General features: G+C 37.5%; 1 protein-coding gene across 67 annotated transcripts in view; it reads right to left on the bottom strand.

Moving 5' to 3' along the window:
- VEZT (vezatin, adherens junctions transmembrane protein) overlaps positions 1-23,059 on the bottom strand; it is an 84,993-nt gene that overhangs the window by 18,622 nt on the left and 43,312 nt on the right. For 23 of the 67 annotated variants that reach the window (NR_038241.2, NM_001352096.2, NM_001352107.2 and 20 more), the window contains 5 exons: positions 21,097-21,272; positions 17,546-17,821; positions 13,990-14,127; positions 9,289-9,436; positions 1,534-1,865 (listed from right to left, as the gene is read on the bottom strand). Coding sequence is in view for 55 of the 67 variants with exons in the window: in NM_001352096.2 (NP_001339025.1) it covers positions 1,534-1,865; positions 9,289-9,436; positions 13,990-14,127; positions 17,546-17,821; positions 21,097-21,272 (1,070 nt within the window). In the remaining 12 variants the exon portion in view is untranslated. Of the gene's footprint in view, positions 1-1,533; positions 1,866-9,288; positions 9,437-13,989; positions 14,140-17,545; positions 17,822-21,096; positions 21,273-21,750; positions 21,875-23,059 lie in introns of all 67 variants that reach the window. The other 44 variants (NR_038242.2, XM_047429108.1, XM_047429109.1 and 41 more) reach the window with 10 other exon arrangements.

Genomic DNA, 23,059 nt, shown 5'->3' with positions numbered 1-23,059 from the left:
TTAGCATGTATAGAATATTACACTTTAAAACAGGACAAAAACTTCCTATGCATAATCCACAATTCCTGCTCATGGTACAAAGCTCCTCTTTTTTGTGTTCATGTCTACCTTGTGTAGCACTCTTTCTTCCCTGAGCCATCTTCCCTCACTCAAATGCATTCTAATATGCGCCGTATATTTCTGATTCTATTGCCAAAACTTACTTCTTCGGAGGCTCTGGCTTTGCCTACAACCTGTCCACTGAAATCTTATTTTCCTTTGAGGACAATCCAACCTTTGCCACCCACTCAAGTGGAGATGGCCTTATCGCCCAGTTCCCTGTAGAAGGCAGGGCTAAGAGCCTCGTTAGCATTTACCTGCTTTCTTAGAACAGCAGATATAGACCACTGGAATACCCTGAGTTCATAGTGTCTTCATTTTTCCTATGCCATAATCTTTATATCAGCCTTATATCAAGCCTTATATCAAGCCCAACTCAGGCCTTGAACTGATGGGTAAAAACTTAGCTTCTAAAAATATCTTTCTGACTTTAAGTTCCTATCCTTGTATCTCTTATCCTCCCTAATTCCAGTGATTTTGATTTGCTGATTTAGCCTTTTGATTTTGCTGATGTATCAAGTCCTTTTGACCCATTCTTATTTACATAATCAAATACTGCCTTCCCCATTCCACTTCTTGCCTTGTATCCCAGGGTCAAGTACATCAACTACAATCTTGTCAGCTCTTTAAATTCCTAGGACCTTCCTGATTACCAACACAATTTGAACCCAACCATTCATTTGATCCAGTCCTACACGATGAGTATTTAACTGTTAGAGAAAAATTTCACTGGAAATGACTGTATTCAATTAAATGCCTTGATTCAATTTTTAAACTTGAAAACTTCCATGTACAAATATGTGAAAATAGTATTTTCAGCTGATAAAGGTATACCAAAGTGGGACATAAAAATTTAGGAATTAAGGTAGTATACCAACAATTTCATGCAAGGTAGGAAATGAACAAATATAAACTCTAGACTCTACATTTTGCTCTTCAACTGGGACCACAAAGCTTGTCCTGTGATACAAAAAAATTTTCAGATCTGCTGTAATTTATTTAGAAAAATAGCAATATGTTACTCTTCCACTATATATAACATATATACTGTTCCAGTACTGGTAGATATTTCTATTGGACTGCAGGTTCCAGTTTAAGAGCACTACCTTAAGACAGTTAAAAGAAACTCATTCTTTATAACCATCTCCATTTCAGCTCTCAAAGAGAATGAACAACACCTGCTTTTAGCCTACTTTTCCAAGTTTTCTGTTGAACTAAGGAAAAGTAAAAACTATAAATAATAACTCCCTCAAGTTATAGTACTTATAAATTATTTTTTTTTTTTGCTATATTTATAGCTATAAATCACCCTTCATGCTCATGCCTCAGTTTTGTTTCTTTTTTCTAGGTAGGACACAAGCCAACAACCACAATGGTACACGAATGAAGCTTGCTAATTACCGAGACCTTTCTTGGTATAATTTCTAAACTTACTCATTCAGTAATGCTTTCAGATGGAGCTGCAAGCTACGCACTGCTGTGTGAACATTATTCAGTTCTCTTGACTTCTGTTGAGTTTTGGATAAACACTGCGGTACTGACTGGTGCTGAGTTTCAAAGTACCGATAGAACTCATAGCTGCGCTTAAGCTCTTCCAAACAGGCAGAATGAGCATGAGGTAGACCTTGAGTCACATCAGATAAGATACGATGAGGCAGAAGTGCTGGAGTAAGTAAGGGCCCAGGAGGTGAATTGGCTGTAGAAAGTAATAGGGCTAACCGTCTGAAGAACTCTGAACTCTGTGCCACCCAGAGTTGGAACAAAACCTTAAAGAAAAAAGAAAAAAGAACTAGATCAATAAAAATATTGGTCAGTGTTCAAAACAAACTATAAATTTGTTTATCTTAACTTCTGGTTTAAATTTTGCACTTTATCCTAAATAATAAATATAGCCGAACTTAAACTACCTTAAGATTAGCCAAGAATATGATTTCAAATTATGTGTGTGGGAACCTCTGATTCCAATACAGCAGGTAACATCAATATATAATTTACTACAGTTCTGCCCTAGATGGGAAGTGTTGATGGAATGAGATAATTTAGTAAAAGTGAATCTTCACTCATTATTTAAAAAAAATTTTCACATAGGAGAAAAGAAGATAGTAGGACTAGTGGATATATATACATATATATATATATTTTTTTCTCTCCAAAGAAATGAGTCACATGGATCAAAAGCTTGGGTTTCAAAATAAGACTATTACCTTGCCCTAGGAATTAGCTAAGAAATTAACATAAAAATCAGTCCAGGGCTAGGCGCAGTGGCTCACTTTGGGAGGTGAAGGCGGATGGATCACTTGAGGTCAGGAGTTTGAGACCAGCCTGGCCAACATGGTGAAACCTCGTCTCTACTAAAAATACAAAATTTAGCCAGACATGGTGGTATGTGCTTGTAGTCTCAGCTACTTCGGAGGCCGAGGCAGGAAAATCATTTGAACTTGGGAGGCAGACGTTACAGTGAGCTGAGATGGCGCCACTGCACTCCAGCCTGGGTGACACAGCAAGACTCCATCCAAAAAAAAAAAAAATCAATACTCCAGGAATGTCTGACATGAGAAATTGCAAAACCCATTATTTTAATTAATTAATTAATTAATTTTTGTGATAGAGTCTTGCTCTGTTGCCCAGGCTAGAGTGCAATGGCACTATCATAGCTTACTGCAACCTCAAACTCCTGGGCTCAAGTGATCCTCCTACTTCAGCCTCCTGAGTAGCGGGAAACACAGGCATGTACCACCATACTCAGCTAATATTTAAGTTTTAGAGATGGGGTCTCAGTATGTTGCCAGGATAAATCCCATTCTTCTTCTTTTTTTTAAAATGCAGTCTGAATATGTTCATAGGCCCGTTCCTGAGATACATCCTGAATCCTGGCAGCAAAATATTTCTCCAGATATAGTCCTATTCAAGATGAGGACAATATCTCCGAAACAAATGCATGAGGAAACAATGTAGTATGAAACAAGAGGTAGCAGGGAATAAAAAGAGGATGAAACCACTTTGGGTAATTTAGATTCCAATTATTCACAACCATGAAAATAGACAGTATTTAGATGGTTTTAGTAAATGAATTTTAAAATTATGCCAATAATGAATTAAGATTATTTCATGTATATCTATTTTACCATTAACTTATTTTTTTTTTAAAGTGACCAAGGCCTAATTTCCTAGTTGCTACAGATGTGATATCTAGGGATTCTTGACTTGCAAGTTTACTTGCAAGCCTTCTTATTCAACTGTTAAATTTTATGATTACAATGATTTTTATTCTTTTGTTCGTTCATTCAGAAATGATTTCTTGAGCACCCATGATGTGCCAGGCACTGTTCTAGGTGCAGATAAACAGCAGTGAGCAAAAATGAAGAGTCCCCACTCTGATGGAGCTTATATTCAAGTAGAGGGGCACAGATAATAATTTACAAGTAAAAGATACTATTTCCCTTTTGCAGTAATGATTGTCGAGGAAGAAAAAGAAAGATAGTGTTTCTTGGTTGATGGGAAAAACACAGCAAAGAAGAGGAATAGTGTGTGTGTGTGTGTGTGTGTGTGTGTGTACACATATGAAAGGGGGGGAATAGTGTGTGTGTGTGTGTGTGTGTATGTGTGTGTACACATATGAAAGGGGGGGAGAGAGACAGAAAGCGCGAAGGAGAGAGGAGAAGGGGCTGGCTGGGGAGGTCTCTAAAAGTGTCACCTGAAGGAAGTGAGCCATGAGATAATCATCAAGGAAGAGAGTTCTAGGGAGCAGGAAGTCAAATGCAAAGTACTGTTGTGGGAGCACACAGGGTAGATCTATGGAACAGCAAGAAGCTCAGTACGGCTGGGGCCAGGTAAGCAATGGGGAGCCACTGAAGGGTTCTGAGCAGAAGCATGACATAATCTGATTTATGCGTTAACAGGCCCATACTGTCTGCTGAGTTGAGAGATTATAGGAAAATGAGAGTAGAAGTGGAGAAACCAGTAAGGAAGTTACTGCAATATTCCAGGTAAGCATTAATGAGACCACGGTGGTTAGTGGTGGAAGGTGAGCAGCAGATGGACTCTGGATACATTGTGAAAGCAGAACTAACACAATCTCTTGACTGATTGGTATTGAGAGAAAAAGAGTTAACAAGGATGATTCCAGCATGTTGGGTCAAGATAACTGCAAGAATCAAGTTGGTACAGTTTACTGCGGCTTTTGAAAAGACTAAAGGCCAGGCGCAGTGGCTCCCACCTGTAATCCCAGCACTTTGGGAGGCTCACTTGAGGCCAGTAGTTGGGAGACCAGCCTGGGAAACACAGTGAGACCCCTGCCTCTACAAAATATTTTCTTAAAAATTAGTCAGGCATGGTGGCACATAACTGTTGTTCCAGCTACTTGGGAGGCTAGGGTGGGAGGATCGCTTGAGCCCAGGAGTTCAGGGTTACAGTGAGCCACGATTGCACCACTGCACACCAGCTGTGTGACTGAGCAAGACCTTGTCTCTAAAGACTAATTTGTCATCCAATCACTGTCACATTACCCACTTAAACCAGAACTCAGAAATATGTATTTCTTTTTTCCTGTTTGTTCTTTGGATAAGGAAAGCTCCTCTGGATAAGGAGATAACCATAGCTGATAGGTAAACAGAAAATTTTGATTTAAAGCATTTCACAATGTGTGCATTTATTTTTTCTAGAGCAGGAAACAGATGACTTCATAAATTTAAAAAACTAGTTAAAAACTTAAAGGAAAAGAGAGGGATAAGGACTGTGTTCTAGGGACTGATTGAGTATCCCTAATCCAAAACTTTGAAATGAAATCCCAAATGCTCCAAAATTTGAAACTTTTTGAGCACCAACATGGCAGTCAAAGGAAATGCTCACTGGAACATTTCAAATTTCAAATTTTTGGATTAGGGATGCTCAACCTCAATGTGTAATGCAAATATTCCAAAATCTGAAAAAATCCAAAATCCAAAACACTTCTAGTCTCAAGCATTTTGGATAAGAAATTAATTAATCAATTAATTTATTTATTTATGTTGAGACGGAGTTTCGCTCTTGTTGCCCAGGCTGGAGTGCAATGGCACGATCTTGGCTCACCACAACTTCCGCCTCCTGGGTTCAAGCGATTCTCCTGCCTCAGCCTCCCGAGTAGCTGGGATTACAGGCATGCACCACCACACCTGGCTAATTTTTTGTATTTTTAGTAGAGACGGGGTATCTCCATGTTGGTCAGGCTGGTTGCAAACTCCCAACCTCAGTTGATCCGCCCGCCTTGGCCTCCCAGAGTGCTGGGATTACAGGCGTGAGCCACGGTGCCAGGCCTGGATAAGACTCACGCCTGGATAAGAAATATTCAACCTGTATTTTATTTATGTCTCCTCAGGCTACAATTTGGAGGTTGCTTTTCTTTCTAAAGGTGCAATACTTACTATCACTAAACTTTCCTGAGGGAAGATACGGGAACAATAAAAAATAAATCCAAAATGTATTTTCTTTAGAGGGGGCAACACACTTTTAAAAATTTAACTTACAAAATCTATTTTTAAATTTCTTATCTGAATAACGATACAGTGGTAACTACAGAAGGGGGTAATACACAGTCTTTGAACATTACAGGGGTTTTCAACAGTTTGCAAAGTCTATAGAGCTCCTCAAGATAAGGCTCCTTTCAGAGCCTGATAAATGTGGTAACTGTAACACAATCATTGAGTTTGGTTACAGGTTAGTTATATGTAAAAATAAAAGAAATATAAAAATACTATTATAGTTTGATTTGTAAAACACTGTGAGTGAGCAAAAGGAATCTAGCTATAATCACCATTGTTGGAAGGTAGGATGGGGATACAGCAACAGAGAACAAGTCTCACATTTCAGAGCAGGCCATATCAGATAGAATTTTAAAAATCAGCTAACATTCATTAATTGCTTACTCTACACCAGGCACTGAACTGACAAACATCTAATCCTTTGGAGGCAAGCATTGCAATTATCCCATTTTAATAAACACAGAAACAATGATTTGCTCAGGACCACACAGTAGTCAAATAACGGAGCTAGAGTGAAACCTGGAAAATCTGACTCCACAGGGTCCACAACTTCTCTTTGCTGCCTATACTTAAGCTAGAGTACAATTCAGGATTTAATAAGCTTTTAAAAACAGTACATCAACAGCATAAAGAAATAAATCTCCAAGGCATCTTGATGAGTTAACAAAAAGTAATTTAAAAGGAAATGAAATACTATAATTCTTTCTCCAAGTCCTTCTTAAAGAATAACAGCTATTACCATTTGGGGGTACCCATTATATGTCAAGCCCTGTTCTAGGTATTTAATATGTCTTCTCATTTAATCTAATACCTTATAAGGCAGGGATGGTAACTCCTTTTCACAGGTGACATAAGTTCAAAGAATAACTTATTCAAAGGCAAATGGCTAGTCAGTCAGGGCTAAAATATAAACACAGGTCTGCTCCATTTTCCACATTAAGAATCTCTTAAATTGTACTTTGAAAAAAATCTTTATTTTCCTTAAAGAATAAAGCAAGGTTAGGATATTAAATTCGAAAGGGTGTGAAAGTATCTATAGTCCCACCACCCCAAAGAGTAGCTATATATATCTTGGTATTTTCTCCTCATTTTTTTTTTTAAACAGGGTTGTGGACATATTGCATATACACTTATGTATCCTGATTGTTTCACTGGCAACAGATGTTTCTCCAAGTTTTTACAGAATTTTCACGGGCAAGCTGTAGCTGCTACACAATGGTTCACCATGTGGCTCTGGCATGACTCACACAGCCATTCCTCTATTTTTGAACTTTCAGGCAGTGTTCCATTGTGCACTATTATAAACACAAAGTGAATAAGCAGCTTGGTATATAAAGTTTAACTATGTTTTAAATAATTTCCTGCAGTTTGTAGAAGGGGAATTACAAATTCAAAGGATAAATCATTAAAAAGGTTCTTTACATGTCAAGTTGCATTCTGAAACAAATAACTTTAGATAACTGAGGAAAGTACTGCAGCAGCCTAAGTATGAAATGATGGTGGCTGGGACTAGCATGGTGGCTGGGACTAGGATGGTGCGGGGGCGGGGGTGGATATAGAAAAAAGTGGATGGGTTTAAAATACATTTTCAAGGTAGAAGTGACATAAGAATCTGCTAACAGACTGGATGTGAGTGGGCAAAAAGAGGGACAAGAAAGATGGTGTCCAGGTTTTTTGTGGTGCCATTTATTGAGATGGGTTAGAAGGGGAGTAGGAATAAGCCAAAGCAAATTTTACGTAATAGGAAAGAAAGAAAACAAACAAGATTATTAGAACATTTATGTTGATTTAGAAAATGTAAAAGATATGGAAGTCAATACAGTCTCAAAACAAAATGGATCTTGATAAATGCTAACAACAATACTTGCACTAATTTTCACGGTATCAAGGGAAGTTTTAAAAACTAAAAACAAAGAAACATCTAAAGAGAGCTTACTAAATACTTAGTAGGAACTTAAGACATTTGGATCAATGTCTTAAAAATACTACTGGAGGCTGGGCATGGTGGCTCATGCCTGTTATCCCAACACTTTGGGAGGCTGATGTGGGCAAATAGTTTGAGCTCAGGAGTTTTAGACCAGCCTGGGCAACACGGTGAAACCCTGTCTCTACAAAAAATACAAAAATTAGCCGGGTGTGGAGGCATGTAACTGTAGTCCCAGCTACTCGGGAGGCTGAGGTAGGAGGATCACCTGAGGCCTGGGGAGGTTGAGGCTGCAGTGAGCTGTGATTGAGCCACACTGTACTCCAGCCTGGGCAACAGAGTGAGACTCTGTCTCAAAAAAAAAAAAAAAAAAAAAAAAGAAAAAAATTAAAAGAAAAAGAAAAACAAAAAAAATTTGTTTCCAATGTTGGCTGCTACACTAATGTCATGAACATACTTTGGGTATATCTTTGGTTACTTTCTGAGATAAATCTGTAAGGGCAAATTAAAATTGCTAGAATAAAGCAATTTTGCTTCATACACCTGTATGAAGATTGGTATTCACTGCTAAAGTGAACCAGTTTATACTTTCACCATTGGTGTGTGAGGTCTCCCTGAATCTTCAGTGATAATGAAATTACCAACTTTCAATATACTTGGCAAAATGGTCGGCTTATTATTTTTATTTGTGTTCTTTCATTACTAAAATGAAAAATTTTATCATATTTATTGGCCATTTGTATTTCTTCTTTTCTTGTTTTTTCTTTTTAGGCTAGTCAAATGAAGCAGCGGGAGTGAAGAAGGAACAAAGAAATCTATAACTGGTTGTGATCAATTCGTTGTAAAATACAACCTCACTGGGACTAGCCTGTGTTTCTTTTTTTGTGAACTGTCAGTTCATGCACCCAACTTATCTTCTATAGATCTTAGACACTTTAGAGTGCTCTGCATAAAAAAAAAAAATTAAAACTCTTTGTTATAAATCATTGTAATTTTTCTTGAGCTTGTTTGCATTTGAAGTATGCATTATTTGAAGTTAAAAGTTTACTTTTTTTTTTTTTGAGATGGAGTTTTGCTATTGTCACCCAGGCTGGAGTGCAATGGCATGGTCTCAGCTCACTGCAAACTCTGCCTTCCGGGTTCTCCTGCCTCAGCCTCCCATAGGCATGTGACACTGCACCCAGCTAATTTTTGTATTTTTAGTAGAGGTGGGGTTTCACCATGTTGGTCAGGCTGGTCTCGAACTCCTGAGCTCAGGTGACAGGTGATCTGCCTGCTTTGGCCTCCCAAAGTGCTGGGATTACAGGCGTGAGCCACCCGGCCAGCCCAAAAGTTTAATTTCTATGTAGCTAAATGTATCCTTTCATGTGGCTTTTGATGTATGAAAAAAAAACTTAAGAATTTTGGAGATAACCCATTATCCATGTTTGTTGAAACAAATGGCTAGTTATAAAATCACTCACGTTGGCCTCCAATTAAAGTAAATTCACTTATCTCCAAACTCTAATTTAAGGCATTTCTTTAAGCATTTTAAGTATTTGGACGTCAAAATCTAAGGATCTCCTCTTCCAATCTTTATTATGCTCTCGGCTCTTAAAGACAGAGTTACAAACATCACCCGTGCATTTATGATGATGGTATGCAGCAAACAATGAGTGGAACAAACGCACTATTTACATTCAGAAAGCATAGACACAATCCAAGTGCATCTATTTTTTCTTCAGCCCTTCCCTTACACAAATGGATTACCTTCAATGCAGGCAGGCTGAAGCCATCTGTAAAGTTATGTGCTTCCTCTTCTGAAATCTGCTCTTCACTAAGTCCAAGGCCCAGCTCTTTAAAAGGCACCACACAGATGTAGTTGGTTACATTGTCACTCTCAGAGTTCAGGGGGTAGGTTAAATTAGGTTAAGGCAATCAACAAAGCCTTTTCATGAAAGCATAAAAGATACAGTGAAATTGTCCTATATCACATTCCCTAATCTTTATTCTGAACTTTTGGATGAGGAGGTTTACAGCAGTTTTTAAACACAAATTAATTTTAAGTATCTAATATATTAACATAATACCTCAGATATCTTGGATACTTGTGGATACAATTTTTAATGTCTAAAAAATTAACAGTTCAAGTCTTCAAAAGGGTTAAAGTGATACGTTATTTATTTATTTTTTTGAGATGGAGTCTTGCTTTGTCTCCCAGGCTGGAGTGCAGTGGCACCAACCCGGCTCACTGCAACCTCGGCCTTTCAGGTTCAAGCAATTCTCATGTCTCAGCCTCTCGAGTAGCTGGGATTACAGGCATGCGCCACCACACCCAGCTGATTTTTGTATTTTTTTCTAGAGATGATGTTTTGCCATGTTGTCCAGGCTGGTCTTGAACTCCTGGCCTCAAGTGATCTGCCCGCCTCAGCCTCCCAAAGTGCTGGGATTACAGGTGTGAGTCACTGCGCTCAGCTCCGTTATTTTTGACACCTACCATTTGTAGCTGTATTGTGCACTTTACTGTGTCATGGTTCAGGGCCCTCACTATGCTATAGTAAATATTCTTTTCCTCTCAGTCTGCGTACTGCAGGACATTATTAGTTGAACGTTATCTGAAATACACAGACTGATATAAGTGGCACCAGGCCTGTTCTATCTAGCTTGTTTGACATAGACTACTGTTAGGTTTCCTCTGCCCTCATCCTTACAGACACATCAAAATCAATAATGATTTTTCCTTTTAATTATTTTTCTAAATAATTATTGATCGTGAACCATCTTTGCATTTCTAGCATATTCCTATTTGGTCATATTATAATAATCTTTTGATACAATCCAATATTAAATTTATAAATATTCCATTTAAACATTTTGTTTCTCCACTTATGAGATGGGTCTATATTCTTTGTAATACAACTGGTTTTTATTCTTTGTAATACAACATGTTTTGGTATTGAGATTACAGTATTTTCATAAATAAAATGATATAGGGAAACTTTCTAACCTTTTCTATAGTCTGAAATTTTTTTTAACTATAAAACCATCTGGATCTGGTAGTTAAAAAATTTTAAATTCACTTTGTTTTTGAATAGGTAGTATATTCACAGGATTCAAAATTCATGAGGTATTAAGGGATACAGCAAAAACTACTTTCCACCTCTATTCCTTAGCCATGTAGTTCCACTATCCAAATGCAAAGGCAATTCCATTTACCAGTACCTTCTAAGATTGTTTATGCATACATACATAAGAGCAAATTCAAATATAAATGTGTATCTGGAGATACGTAGGTATATATGCATGCATGTACATAAATACATACATACATATTTATCCCTGTATAAACACACAGTCCCTTTTATGCACAAATTGAAGGATACAATAAATACCAATCCGTGCACTTTGTGTTTTTTTTTCACTTAATATAACTTGGAGATCCACATTAGAGCACTAAGAACTCTATCATTGTTTTTTAAAAATAGTTTCATATTTTGCATTGTCTACATATAAACCAGGTGTTTTCTTTTTAAAATTGAGTATTCTTTATCCTATGTCCAATCTCTTCAAGTTTTAAAATTCTTCCTAGGTCAGTTTTGCAGATTTTTATTTTGATAAGAAATGAGGCTGGGCTCAGTGGCTCATGCCTATAACAATCCCAGCAATGTGGGATCCCTTGAGCCCAGGTGTTCGAGACCAACCTGGGCAAAATGGTGAAACCCTGTCTCTACAAAATGCAAAAAAATTAGCCAGGTGTGGTACTGTGTGCCTTGGTTCCAGCTACTCGGAAGGCTAAGGCAGGAGGATCACATGAGAATGAGACTACAGTGAGCCATGATCATGCCACCACACTCCAGTCTGGGTGACAGATGAGACACTGTCTCAAAAGAAACAAAAAGAACCATTTTCCCCTACATGTTCAAAGTTGCTGCTGTGCAGCTGCATATACTATCCCCTTACAGTTATTTTAATGTCTTCTATATCAATGGTTATCACTGTGTTCTCATTACTAATCTTGTATATTTCTGCTCTTTACTTTGATCAGGCAAATAAGGGTTTACATATCTTACTGGTCTTCTCAAAATGATTGGTGGATTCTTTTTTAGTTAAATTTATTAAGGTTTTTTATATGGAGAATATGATCTGGCCCCTGGCCACCTCTGTTTCATTTCATACTCTAACCTCCAACTTACTGTGCTCAACTCATGATGGTCTTCTTTCTATACTCCAATCATGCTAAATTCATTCCTGCCACAAGATCTTTCTACTCACTGGTCTATCTAACCAGCATACTCTTCCCCCAGATCTTTCTCAGCATGCAAACCTCAGTTTAAATGTCAGCTCCTCAGAGAGGCCTTCTCTTACCATCTAATAAAAAGCAGCACCCCACCGATCATTCTCTATCCTATTCCCGTTTTTTTTTTCCTTCATAGTAACTATTTTATCTGAAGAATCCCATCTGTCCATTTATTATTTTATTTTAGTTTATTTGAGACAGGCTCTCACTCTGTTGCCCAGGCTGGAATGCAGTGGCTGAAACACAGCTCACTGCGCCTTGACCTTTTGGGCTCAAGGAATCCTGCTGTCTCAGCCTCCTAAGTAGCTGGGACTGCGGGTGTGTGCCACCATGCAGCTAATTTAAAAGAATTTTTTTTTTAAGAGACAAGGTCTCACTATATTGCCCAGGCTGGTCTCAAACTCCTGGGCTCAAGCCAGCCTCTGAAAGTGCTGGGGTTACTGGCATGAGCCACTGCACCAAGCCCATATTTTATTGATTATTTCATCTACTAGAAGGTAAGCTCCACGAGAATAAGGATCTTGTCTATCTTGTTCACTGCCAGGTCCCCAGTTTCTAGAAAAATGACTGGCACAAAGAACTCATACAGTCTGTAGTCTTTGATAGGCTAACCCTCTCACTCCCTACCCTACACTGAACTACAAGCTCCATAAGGCAGGGATCATGTCTATTATGTTTACCACTGTACGTCTAGTGATTAGCATATTGCCTGGCAGTCTGTGCTCCATAAATATTCACTGAATGACCAACAGTTCACATGCCACACTGTCATATCTCTATTTCTTTCCATATGTTTTTGCTTCCTTCTATCTGGAATGCAGACTCTTATCCTCATGGCCAACTTCTATTCATTCTCTGAAGCTCAACTTAGATGTCACCTCCCTGAAAGCATTCTCTGACTCCATAAACCAAGTATGTTGCCCTGCTATGTTGGAAGGCACCCACGGCACTTATATAATATTATGAATACTGATTTCTCTATTGATCACATTCAAAAGTCTTTAGAAGTAGGTAGTACATATTTTTACTCAGTTTTCCTAGCACCTGGAAGAATGGCTGACATATAGCAGACCGGCATTTAGGCAATGGGGAATAAAATGGAAAAGTTCTTAATAAAAATTAAAATGCTTTCTCTCCATTTCATATATATGTGAAATTTCCATATATATATAGAAAGAGAGAGAAAGAGAGAGAAAAATGGTTTCAAGTCATAAGTCCTACAGTCAAGACACAACTTCATCCATTAGTAGTTGTATGATACTGCACAAGTCACTTAACCTCTATTTCAGTTTTCTCATAAAATGGAGACAAGAAAATCTAGCTACAAAGGTTTGTATAAGGATATGATAGAACATAAAGCACCCTGTAAACTTTAAGTATTATATTTATCAGTGCTACAATACCCAGCATTCTGAAGTGGCAAAGTTGTCTTTTTACCTTCTACTTAGTCAGGATTTAACTTATCTATATGTCTTTACTAAAATAAAGCTCTTATATGCCTTTATTTTCTGGCTAATAGAACTAATTTCCTATTTTAATAAATTTAAGTGACAGACTTATTGTCATGCAGTCTTTGGGTGCTTACTGTATGCTAGATGATGTCTGATCACTTTACATGGATTAACTCATTTGATCCTAACAAAAATCCAATAAGGAAGATGATGTTATTATTGCCATTTTAAACACGACTAAAGCAAGGTATAGAGAGGTTAAGAAACTTGCTTAAAGTCACTTAGGAAGTAACTGATACAGCCAGTGTTTGAACTTAGCCATTCTGCTCCTAGAACCTGTTTTTTTGAAAAGGGAAGGATTTCCAGTTGCCAGTTTATTAACATGCCATGATGCAAATCTGCCATGTTGAGAAATTTGTTTAAAATGTCAGACCTAGCAAAGCCAGACTCTTTCGACTTCATTCTTTGGATGAGTAAAGGAAGAGACTTCAAGTTTTTTCCTTGTTTAAAAAGCAGTCACAGAAGAACAGAACTTTCTTCCTGTCTGTTATTGTCATTCCCCCAGGAATGCATTTCCAGTTTTAACATAGAATTGATGATGGAAATTAGCTTCAAAATAGGCAATCTCACTTTACAGTAAACTTTCACAGGATACAACTATAATATCTATATTCAGGACTCCAGAAACATTGCTTAGTTTCATATATAAACAGAAAAGGATATTTTTTCAGCATATATAGGGTAGCTAGCCTTGCTGCTTGGAAGTTGGCTCTTAGAGTTCGGTAGACAGCTTTCCGAAGACCGATGAGATGCTGACTTGGATGCTGTCCAGCTTTATTAAATGGGCAAGCAGCACTGACCCTGTCAAGCAAACTTGAAAAGTAAAATGTGATACAACTGTACAGGTGTCCTAAAGTTTTTGTTTCCTAAATCCACAATTCTATTAAATGTAGAAAACAAATTCCTCTTTCATGATCTTCACTAGAAAATGATTATACATATGTCAACTCAGGTCTCATAAAATAGTCATTTCTGTGACTAGATATATATATATATGTATATATAGACAACCACTAAAAAAAAGACAAAAAATTAACATCTCAAAGAGCAAAGGCTTCCTCTGATGTGGGGAAACAATGGATTCTGGCTGAGATATAACAGAAATGTAGAAATATTTATTAAGAATCCACATCTTTTTTACATAGACACTATGCTTGCTAACATATATTAGAGAAGAGCTACTTTATATTCAGTTTTCAAAACCTATATCCATAGGAAGTATGAAGACCTTAATTATAAACACTTTTAAATTCTTAATATACATTTACATACGTTCATCACATATGTTCACTGATCATATTTTGGTCACTTGTACAGAAAAAATACTGTATAGAAATACATTCTGTACATTCATAAAAGTAGGGTAAAATTACTTACCCACCTGCTGCCACTGGCACTTACCTACTCAAAATGAAGTAGGGGACGTGGAAAGATAACAGGACCAGTGGCCAACAGGGGAATACAAGTAGAAAGGCAAAGTAAGGGTTACTGCATAGTAGCATAGCTACTCTCAAAGCTGTTCAAGAGGAAGCACATTTCATGGCACTTCCCATAAGATTAATGGGGAGTACCTAATTTGTAACAATGACATACAATGTATTACATTTCATAACTTACAGTATATATGAGTAAATACCTGGTTATCAGATAAATTTTTTCACCTAACCAGTAATCTTTCCCAACAGTAAAACAAAATATTGGCATTTGTAAATTGCTTATACTATAACACAAAGCTATAAAACAACACACCTAACTCAAAACTTTAAAAATGTTAAACCATACTAAAATGTATTCAGGTATTAAAAATCTATAAAAACCAAATTTTAAAAAATCTATAAAAAGCAGAGGATGATGACTGACAGGCTTATGTTAAGACAAGGGAATGAAGGCAAAAAAGGTTTCAATTATTTGTGAGAGAGGACAATTTGAGTCAGAAACAAAACAGCATTCATGATTTCAATATATGGCACTACTGCTTGTGCTCCATTTTACTAAATCAGTTTTAAAAACTGTCTAATTTTGAAAATGTCTAAAAAATTATGATTCAAGACTTATTATTCATTTTTCAACCCATTATCCAGTTAGATAGAGACAAAGGAAGCACAATTTCTTCCAATACTTCTCTTCGTCTGTCATCTGAATGGGTAGAAGTCATAATCTGGAAGGTAAATCATGTCTAACTGGCCCACTTTACCTCTTCGTGCAAATTCCATGGGGACAGATAAAGTTGGAAAATGACACAAGGCACAGAATCCTCTATACACGCCTAACCATTAGTTGAACAAAGCCACTTTGTTCAACCAGTAAGTCCTCTCAATAAAATAAAAAGGAACTATTACTTTTTTTTTGTTTTTGAAACGGAGTCTCGCTCTGTCGTCCAGGCTGGAGTGCAGTAGCGCGATCTCGGCTCACTGCAAGCTCTGCCTCCCGGGTTCATGCCATTCTCCTGCCTCAGCCTCCCGGGTAGCTGGGTCTACAGGCACCCGCCACCACGCCCGGCTAATTTCTTTTTGTATTTTTAGTAGAGACGGGGTTTCACCGTGTTAGCCAGGATAGCTACGATCTCCTGACCTCGTGATCCGCCCGCCTCGGCCTCCCAAAGTGCTGGGATTACAGGTGTGGGCCACCGTGCCCGGCCGGAAATATTACTTATTTTAAGCATGATTTTTTTAAACTTTTAAAATTTGACACTTAAACAACTTAAAAACGTGCTATCCTTTAAGTCAATAAGAAGTAGACTTCAACTAATGCAACGACAAAAATCAACAGATGCTAAGAACTTTTATACTTTTTTTTTTGAGACCAAGTCTGTTGCCCAACCTAGACAGAATCTGTTGTCTCCAGTTCTGTTGCCCAAACTGGAGTGCAGTGGCACAATCTTGGCTCACTACAGCCTCAACCTCCTGGGGTTTAAGCAATCCTCACACCTCAGCCTCCCGAGTAGCTGGGACTACAGGTGTGTGCCACCACGTCTGGCTAATTTTTTATTATTTGTAGAGATGGGGTTTTGCTAGATTGCCTAGGCTAGTCTTGAACTCCTGGGCTCAAGTGATCCTCATGCCTCGACCTCCCAAAGTGCTGGGATTACGGGTGTGAGCCATTGTGCCTGGCTGACTTTTATACTTTGATTGAGAAGAAAGAGAAATTATAAAATCCATCTTATGTCTTGGGATTGTGTGTAGAACACAAGAGAGTAAAGAACAAGATAACTACTGGGATTCTTCCATTTCTCTATTCCATGATTTTTTAGAAACAGTGTTTATCTCAAGATTGTGTAATGTTCTAGAGCAGAACAGAGTGAAGGATGCGATGGCTACCAGAGGTTCTTCACTCCCTCTTTTCATGATTTTCTAGATACGACTAATTAAGAGCTATGAATGTTCTTCACCATATGCTTACTTTCCCCCACCTATAGATTGCAAAAGTTATATAGGTTATATAAATTATTAAATATACTAGCACACAACTGTCATCTGTTAGTGTTTGGCAGGTGTCCAGTGTACTGCAAGCCGGGTTTAGAATCAGATGGAATGGATATGAATATTTACCATTTATAATTCTATGCCTTTAGTTGTATGCAAAAGTGACTAGCATAGTATATGGAATATAGTTGGTGCTCAATAAATGTAACTTTCCCTTTAATAATAGATTAAGTAGTCAATATATCCTACAGCTTAATATACTTACAGCTAGACTGGTGAATATTTAATTTCCTGTAAGAATGGAAAACATCACTATTTGCATGATATTCTGAGAGTATCAGTGCTATAATATCTGCTAATATTTACCTGAACAGTTATTAGTACATGTCAAGAGTTTTCAAAATGCATTTATAGCAGATACGTCTATCATAAAGAAGGCATTTGAAAGGGAGTAATGGGAGCAAGCATTTACTGGGTAACTACTGCACGTTAGGTTCAGTATCAGACACTCTCTATATATTATCTCATATAATCACATGGTAACATACAGAAATAATCATGATCTCCAAAGTACTTTAGTTCCTCAAAGCAGATAGGCAGAATCATACTACATATTAAATCTAGCACATAATGTATTTATTCCTTCACTTAGCAGTTAATTGACTTTAGTAAGTACTAAAGAGAAAAGCACTTTTTTTTCCTATAAATGCAACATAGAAATGAAAATAGGTAATAAATATTCTCCTTTATGGAATAGAAAATAATCATTTAAGAAATAAAATAAAAAATGAACTCACAGTGTAAATCCTCTGGAAATCACTTCGGTTTCTTGAATGAGACGTAAAGCTTTTCTCACGAGGTTAGTAAAAGCTCGGCTGTTTGTGGCCATATCTTCCAAATGAACGCTGTATTTTTTTAGGGTCACTTGTAGTTTGGCTGTCCTCCATAATCTCAAAGCTCTTATGACCAGATACACAAATAGAATCACTCCCCATACCAGCCAGGAAGACACAATCCACCAAGTGGGAAGCATAACGAGCAAGCTAATGAAGGCAAATAGCATTGAGAGATCCCTGGGAACAAGAAAGGAAGAAAATGATATGCATCAGATTAGAGAAAGAAAGATGAATTACTTTAATCAGTAAAAACAAAATTTAAATTTAGGTTTACTAAATAAATAAAATGCTAGCTTCTTTGTAAAGCATAACTTAAAAATATATGACATTTAAGAAGGTGATGTGAAAGATTTTTAAAATACCTCGCAACTAGACAATAGTGCTTAGGTATTAACATCTGAGCTGATAAATTTAAGTAAGAAAACAGGTATCTTCTGGAATCAGGTAAAGCTGATTTCACAAAAGAAACTCAAATTCTCTGTAGGTGCTGACTGAATGCTGGGCAGAACCAACAAAAGGCCTCTACATTTCCTACATATACAGAATCTGGAGCTAGAAATACCACCCATCGCCTGCAGGATAAAATCAAACTTCATTAGCTCAGTCTACAAAATCCTTCAGAAGTTGGCCCAGAACATGTCTTGAGTCAGATCAGCATCCCAGCCCTCAACTCCAAGCATTGTAAACCAGAACATCTCTTCCTTCTCTTTCCTTTTTGCCTGGTGTCATCTTATATTTAATACCAAAATCCTATGCGTTCAAACCTTCCTCTGACACCAAGTCTTCTGTGAAGATTTTGCCAAAAGCTTGAAATAGTTACTTCTAATTTTAGCCAACCCCTCTTCTGTGACCCCAAAGAAATTGCTACATTTCTCTTTATGACATTAATAAAAATGATAATAAATATAACAATAGGCATCTTCTGAAACCACTTTTAAAAAAATAAAAAATATATGGAATCCTTAACCTAAAAAGCAAATTAGAGATTTTAAAATCCGATTTTATAGATTTAAAAGTAAAAATACTATTTCAGAGATATTATAAATCCCTTTTCCTAAAATCAAACTTTATTTGCATAGAAACACATACTAGATCAAGAATATGTACACATTTTTCCAATTAGAAATGATACACACTTGATGAGTAATTGTTTGAATAAAGTCCTCTAATTTTAAATAATCATCATCAATTTGGAATATACATACTTACCACAGACCATGATATGGACAAGGTTTGTACTTTTATACTACTTTAATTGAAACAAAAATATGTACACATTTTAAAATTCATATCAATTGCAAGTCTAACAGACTAAAATACATCTTTAAAGCAATGAATGCTTTGGTGAAAATGTGTATATATAAGAAAGAGGGGGCCAGGCACAGTGGCCCACGCCTGTAATCTCAGCACTTTGAGAGGCACAGGTGGGAGGACCACTTGAGCCCAGGAGTTCGAGACCAGACTGGGCAACACAGTAGGACCCCTTCTCTACAAAAAATTTAAAAATTAGCTGGGTGTGGTTGCATGCATCCGTAGTCCCTGCTATTCGGAGGCTGAGGCGGAGGGATCACTTGAGCAGGCTGCAGTAAGCCGAGATCATGCCACTGCACTCCAGCCTGGGTGGCAAAGCAGGACCTTGTCTCAAAAAAAAAAAAAAAAAAAAAGAAAAGAAAAGAAAGAGGGGAGTATAAGGGGGATGTGTCTGAGAATAGCTGAAAAACAGCAATATTTGGAAAGAGTTATAATAATCATATTGCAAAGAAAATCACATGCAATTTCTTATTAAATATTTGCCCTGGCCAGGTGCAGGGGCTCGTGCCTGTAATCCCAGCACTTTGGGAGGCTGAGGCAGGCAGATCACTTGAGTTCAGGAATTCAAGACCAGCCTGGGCAACATGGCAAAACCCTGTCTCTGAAAAAAATACAAAAATTAGCCAGGTATGGTGGCATGCTCCTATAGTCCCAGGTATTTGGGAGGCTAGGGCAGGAGGATCACTTGAGTCTAGGAGGCTGAGGCTGCAGTGAGCTGAGGTCACACCACTGTACTCCAGCCTGAGCAACAGAGACCCTGTCTCAAAAAATAAGTAAATAAATAAATATTTGCCCTAATTTCCTTTAGAATCCTTTACTTTTCAGATAATACTGGCAATACCATAAAGCAAAATCTCATCATATACTTTTGTATGTTAATAGTAAACTCTAAAATCATTTATAGGTCTCATAGTTGCTTGATTATATTTGTGGGTAAAGGAAAGTTAGTAAAGTAGTAAATTCTTAAAACCTATGGTTCCTTCTATCAGCTCCTTAAATTCTTGTATTTTTGAAGGATAAGAAGCTTTACTTCTTCATGATCATATCTGAGTGACTGCAGAATGAAGCATTTGTCAGTGTGACAGGGAAGACATAAATACAGAACCTTGAGGCCAATGAATGTAACTGCCTATATAACTTGAACAGTTTGAATAGTGATTTAGTGTACTTCTTGATTCATTCCTCCCTTCTATGTCAAATTTAATAAAGTACTTTAACAGGAAGAAGACATCAATAATTTTTTATATATAATCGCTTTTTGCTACACATTCTTTTTTTTTCTTTTAACAGATTATTGCTTGGGACTTCTGCTCTAGACCCAAATAGTTCAAGAGGTTGAAAAGTTTTAGGATGGTCTGAATGAATCATCAAATCACATTCCCTGTGATCTTTTCTCAGCCAACACAGCCAGAATCAACTGCCTACCTCCATGTCCCATCCTATTCTTGGTGTCTCTACAATATAGTTACGATAAAACCTATTAATTATAAAGAAACACAAAGAAGGTTAGGTTTGCATGCACACATGTGAATAGGTGTATGGGTAAAATAAATTCTTTTTTTTTTCCCCTTAGAGACAGGGTCTCGCTTTGTTGCTCAGGCTGGAGTGCAGTGGTGTGATCACGGCTCACTGCACTCTGCAACTGCTGGGCTCAAGCAATCCTCCCATATCAGTCTCCCAAGGAGCTAGGTCTACAGACATATGCCAACATACCTGAACTCATTTTTTCATGTTTTGTAGAGATGGGATTTTGCTACGTTGCCCAGGCTGGTCTCAAACTCTTGGCCTTAAGCAATCCTACCACCTCAGCCTCCCAAAGTGTTGGGATTACAGGCATGAGCCACTGCACCTGGCAGAGTAACTTTTTGGCACTTGTTATACCCATTTGCTAGGTTGCTGAGCACAGAACTAATTTTAATGAGTTGGAAGTATATAATAACCAAATTGGATTTTTTTCCCTAGCTTCACTTTAAATAGTATTTACTTTAGAAAGGCACTTTTTCCCCCCATATTGTTACTTTAATTGTACTGCTAAATGTATGGAATGTTTATGCCTTTACAATGGAGAGCACAATGATGGGTTTCCTCTGCTAATACTCTGTATGTAAGCAGTCAAAGAATAGGTGTTTTCTGGACAGTACCAAATATTAGGGGTTGCCAGGGAGCAAAGTGTTGGAAGGTGTCCATTTTCCTGTTGTTGAGATTGCCCTGCAGACAGGATACTGGGATCAAGTAGCTCAATCAGCTCCACATCCTCTTGTAACAGGACTTCCTGTTGCAGGATGGTATGTAATGAGTCGAGTCGGAATCCAATATCCTTGCCATTAAAATACCAGAAGAGAGGTATTAACACATATATAATATTGCATTAAACGCTAAGCTCCTAATGTACTAATAAAATTTGGTGGTGTTTATTTTCAGAAGATACTTCAAGAAGAAACAACAGTCCAATCTACCTTCAGTATGATAGCTGGGTTTTATTTTCACTGTAAATGTGAAACAGTAAAGGTTGAGATAGACATTATTGAGCCATCAGATGTAAAAGATAAATTTTTAATAACAAGATGTAAAGTAATTACAGATTAACAAACTTGTCTAGTTAAGCCTAATTGATTAAATTGCTAGGGCACGACATGGAAAATATAATCCTATAACATAAAAGATGCTGTCCCTGAAGCTGTAACAATATAGCCAATATTTAAGAATTTTATTAGCAGGATCAAGGCCTCCTAAAAATGGATATTCAGATATTTAAAAATACACTATTAAGGAATGCAATGTAAAATCACACTAACATTTGCATAGCACTTTATAGTTTACAAAATGCCTTCACATATACGAGCTCATTTATTTCTCCTTCTCTTCTTTCTATTCATCTATCAAGGAATATCTTCTATAAGCCAGGCATCAGGCTTGACACTGAAGACACAAAATGAAAAAGATATACAAGTCTCTATTCTTAAAGAGTTCGTAGTTTAATGAAGTGACCCAAAAAGTAAACAGTTGCAATATAACATGCAAAGGAGTGTGATGAAATACACCTAGAGTACTATGAAAATGGCATAGAGGGACCAAGCCTGTAATGAAGTCAGAGAAAGTAAAAGAGGTGAAGCCTGAGCTAAGTTTTAAAGGATGAACAAAAATTGACCAGACAAAGGAGTTGGAGAAGTGGGATGGTACAGGATAAAAGCCTTTCTAATTTGGGGAAGTGTGAGTCGTCGATATTAGATGATATTATTAATAGATTGTGCACAGAGTGCACATGGTAGAGAGGTGAGAGATGAGGTAGCACTGTTAGGGCAGATAGGTGAATTCTCACAGTAACCCTGTGATGTACCTTATCATCCTCCTCTCCATTATGTAGGGGAGAACACCAAAGCCCAAAGAGATTAAGTAACTTTCCAGAATTTTGATTTCAAATCCTAAGCGTTTGGTAGCTGTGTTTCCCTGCATATAGTCTGCCTCAAAAGAAAATTTAAAGTTGTATTTTGTATTAAATTTAAACAAATAGAGGCCGGGTGCAGTGGCTCACGCCTGTAGTCCCAGCACTTTGGTAGGCCAAGGTGGGCGGATCACCTGAGGTCAGGATTTCGAGACCAGCCTGGCCAATATGGTGAAACCCCATCTCTACTAACATACAAAAATTAGCTGGGCATGGTGGCACATGCCTGTAATCCTGGCTACTTGGGAAGCTGAGGCAGGAGAATCTCTTGAACCCAGGAGGCGGAGGTTGCAGTGAGCCGAGATTGTGCCACTGCACTACAACCTGGACAACAGAGCAAGATTCCGTCTCAAAAAAAATAAAAATAAAAAATAAACCAAAACCAAACAAACAAATTTAGTACTAGAGTGATCCTACTATATGATCAAAATAAAGAGAATGATGGACAAGGCCATTAACAATTAAAGTAAAACCTGTTAGGTCTAGGGTGTGAAGGCAACAGGTTTGCTCTTCTTAGTTAATTTAATCATCCCCACACCACACATTCCAGGCCTCGCTGATCATAATGAGGACTTCAGTAAGAATGAGGTGAACCATATATCAAACTGAGCCCATGACCTCTTGATCAGGGTTATATGCCACTTTTAGAGAAGAAGATTTTT

The sequence above is a fragment of the Homo sapiens genome, chromosome 12 (assembly GCF_000001405.40).
Source record: "Homo sapiens chromosome 12, GRCh38.p14 Primary Assembly".
Classification (NCBI taxonomy): domain Eukaryota; kingdom Metazoa; phylum Chordata; class Mammalia; order Primates; family Hominidae; genus Homo; species Homo sapiens.
This window is presented reverse-complemented; position numbering and strand designations above follow the sequence as displayed.